Here is a 2,984-nt window from a genome sequence, read left to right as displayed (position 1 = left end):
CTTAAGACTGCCCCTGGAAATTCACTACTTGAGACCATTTTGTCTCTATCCAGGATAAAATCTGGGTAGGCTCCGCAGATGTTCAATCTTCACTAACAAATCTTCCCTGCTCACCTTAGCGTTGAAACAGCCTCACTCTAAAATTAATGTACCCAAACAGATTTAATAAAAGAGTAAATTTAAAGTTATAATTCTTCCTTGACCCAGCTAGACCAGCTTCTTGTTCTACCCAATCTAACAACACCAAGGTTAGAGAGATATGAGGAAATAAGTAAATAACGATGAAGTCTGAATTAAGTGAAGGTCTCTCATCTGTATTTCCAAGGCAAAGGTGACACAAGATCTGCCTGGACATTTGTGACTCCACTCCTCCTTCAGCTTCTGGTACAAATAGATTCTCTGGAGTTAGCTCTTTCTTTCATTCTCTCTCCCTCTCCCATTACCTAGTGGTAAATCCAGCCCTTGGACTAGTCATTTCGCACCCTTTACCAAACCAGCCTAGATCATGACTTTGCTGTTACAGGAAACCTTTTGCTTTTTCCAAGTGAGGAAACACTAGTTCATGTGTCCGCCAAATGTTCAAACTTTAGCAACACCTCTAAAATTCTCCAAGTGGCCTTATTTAAGTCTTTATCATTACACTTGAGATAAGGGGAAGGTATGATCCCCTCACAACAAATTTATAACTCTATCTTAAAAAACACTTCAACTGAATAGTTTTTAATATCCTCAAGTGCATGAGAAGCCAAGGGTTGCAAACTTAGTTGCTGAAAACTTCTTTGCCAAGTTCTGCTAGATGGACAAGCACCAAATTTATTGTACTATTACTAGTTGAAAGAGGCCTAGGGGATGATTGATTCAGTCCCTTTGACTTCAGTAGAAGTCCCTTTTTCTCCTCTCAATACCTCTTAAATATATATACATATTATGTGTTGGACCTGGTTTATACCTTCCACAGACTTAGCTCAGCACCACCTGCCTTCCAGGCCTCTCCTGATGGACTAATTTGCCAGCCAGCAGGCTCTTGCAGTAGTTCTCAGTCACAAAGCCACAGTCTCATAACACAGACAGTAGTCTCAGCCTATGCTTGGGTGAGGAGCGGGCTTCCATGATCTCTATTAAAAGCTTCACTCTGGGAGTCACAGAAACTTCAGTGTCAAGAAGACCATGCCAGGGGCAGCTTTGTCTTCTCCCAGATGCTGTCAAGAGAAGACGGTCAACACCATTCTAAAGAGTGGATGATTTAATGTTGTTCAGGAAGGACTGGCTAATGAGAGATAGGAACTAGGACTATTCAAAGAGCAGTGGTTTTAAACTGCCTCTCTAGAGGTATTCTGCATGACAGAGTCAACATCTTGGTTTTCTTGGAGGTTGGGAATGCACTATCTTGTATTTGCTTTTCCTTCTTCTCTACCTCACTTCCTTTCCATCCGTGTTTTCTTCCTTTGAATGATATTCATCAACAAAATTCTAGCTTGAAAGTTTGTGTCAGCCTCTGTTTTCAAATGCACCCTGGGAGAAAGGTAATTTACTGAAAAGTATTTGGGAGGTTATTGTGAAAATTTAAGTATGAATGGTCAAGAAATTACATATGCCAGTGACATCATGCAACAGCTACTAACATCTTATAGAACTATAGCTCTGAGGAGCATACCTGATATAGCTTTGGATCAGATATTGCTATGGTTTTGGTCTAGTTTTTTCAGCCTCACCAAGTCTCATATTAAAATTTGGCTTTCAGTAGTATTGGGGGTAGTGCCTAATGGGGGGTGTTTCGGTTGTGGGGGAAGATCCCTCATGAATGGGTTGGTGCCATCCTCATGGTAATGAATTCTTGCTCTTCCAGTTCTCCTGAGAGGTGGTTGTGAAAAGGAGCCTGATATCTCCCTTCTCACTCTTGCTTCCTCTCTCACCATATGATCTCTGCACACACTGGCCCCCTGCCTCTTCTGCCGTGAGTCAAAGCTGCCTGATGTCCTTACCAGATGCAGAACAATGAGTCAAATAAAGCTCTTTTCTTTGTAAATTACTCAGCCTTAGGTATTCCTTGATAGCAACACAAAAACAAAGACAGTTGTCTATTTAAATGTTAGGCTAAAGAAAAATCAGGGTTTTAAATAATTAAAGTTAGTTTTATTCCATCTTACTGAGGATTATAACCTCGGAGAGTCTTTGAGAGAATTTCTGTCAGCTCTGACGCAGCATTTCAGCTCATAGTTTTTATTCAGGCAGTGAAGATTCAGTACATGCAAATTATATGAGAGCTTGGTTGTAAGAGTACATCTAGTTATAGTTTGCAGGAGCATAATTGCTAAACTCGGTAGGCTTTTTTATGTGTAAGAAAAGGCAAGAAGTAGGGTCATTTTTCTTTTAAGGAATGTAGCGTCTGAGGCAAGAGACCTGGGGTGCTGTGTTCTATAGCGTGTTTATCGTCTTCAAAGCATTCCTTCAAAAAGCTACACCTTTTAACAGAGTCAGGGCAACTGTAAATTTATGCTGGAAGAGAACATATTCTTATTTTTCTCAAAAAATCTAAAGTTTGTGTTTCCTTATTTTATAAGTTGACCTAATAATTCTCAGTTGCTATAAATCCACTCACTCAACCTGTGAAATTTCAAAGAGTTCATGATTCTAATTTTGAAAAGGAACATATTAAGCAGCAATAAAGTGAACAACTTTTTGTGCAAAGATGTGTGTCTTGCAAGAATCACCCACAATGACTTTCATTTATTTTGACCTCATATCACCAGAGCACTGACCTCAGTAATGCTCAATGTCAGAAAGATGAGCTGAATCAGAGGAAGCAAAGCACTAACATTGGCATCCAAATTGTTGTGCATTGAAACATCATCTCAGCTTGCACCTGGCACATTGGCTCTACTTGCTGATGCTGAAACTGGAAACTGCCACATGGCATTATTTATCAAAGTCTAGAATGAGAGACTTTCATTGTAGGATATAATGCAATCAGGATCAGCCTGTAA

The 2,984-nt window shown here is 39.8% G+C and overlaps 1 annotated feature.

Annotated features, from left to right (window-relative positions):
- Nucleotides 1,683–2,184: an enhancer, noted in NCBI's record as "NANOG hESC enhancer chr2:188483510-188484011 (GRCh37/hg19 assembly coordinates)". NCBI's record gives its function as "activates a minimal SCP1, AML or CMV promoter by ChIP-STARR-seq in primed H9 embryonic stem cells {active_cell/tissue: H9 hESC(primed)}" and the evidence as "EXISTENCE:reporter gene assay evidence [ECO:0000049][PMID:30033119]".

Source organism: Homo sapiens, chromosome 2, assembly GCF_000001405.40.
Source record: "Homo sapiens chromosome 2, GRCh38.p14 Primary Assembly".
NCBI classification, from domain to species: Eukaryota; Metazoa; Chordata; class Mammalia; order Primates; family Hominidae; genus Homo; species Homo sapiens.
This window is presented reverse-complemented; position numbering and strand designations above follow the sequence as displayed.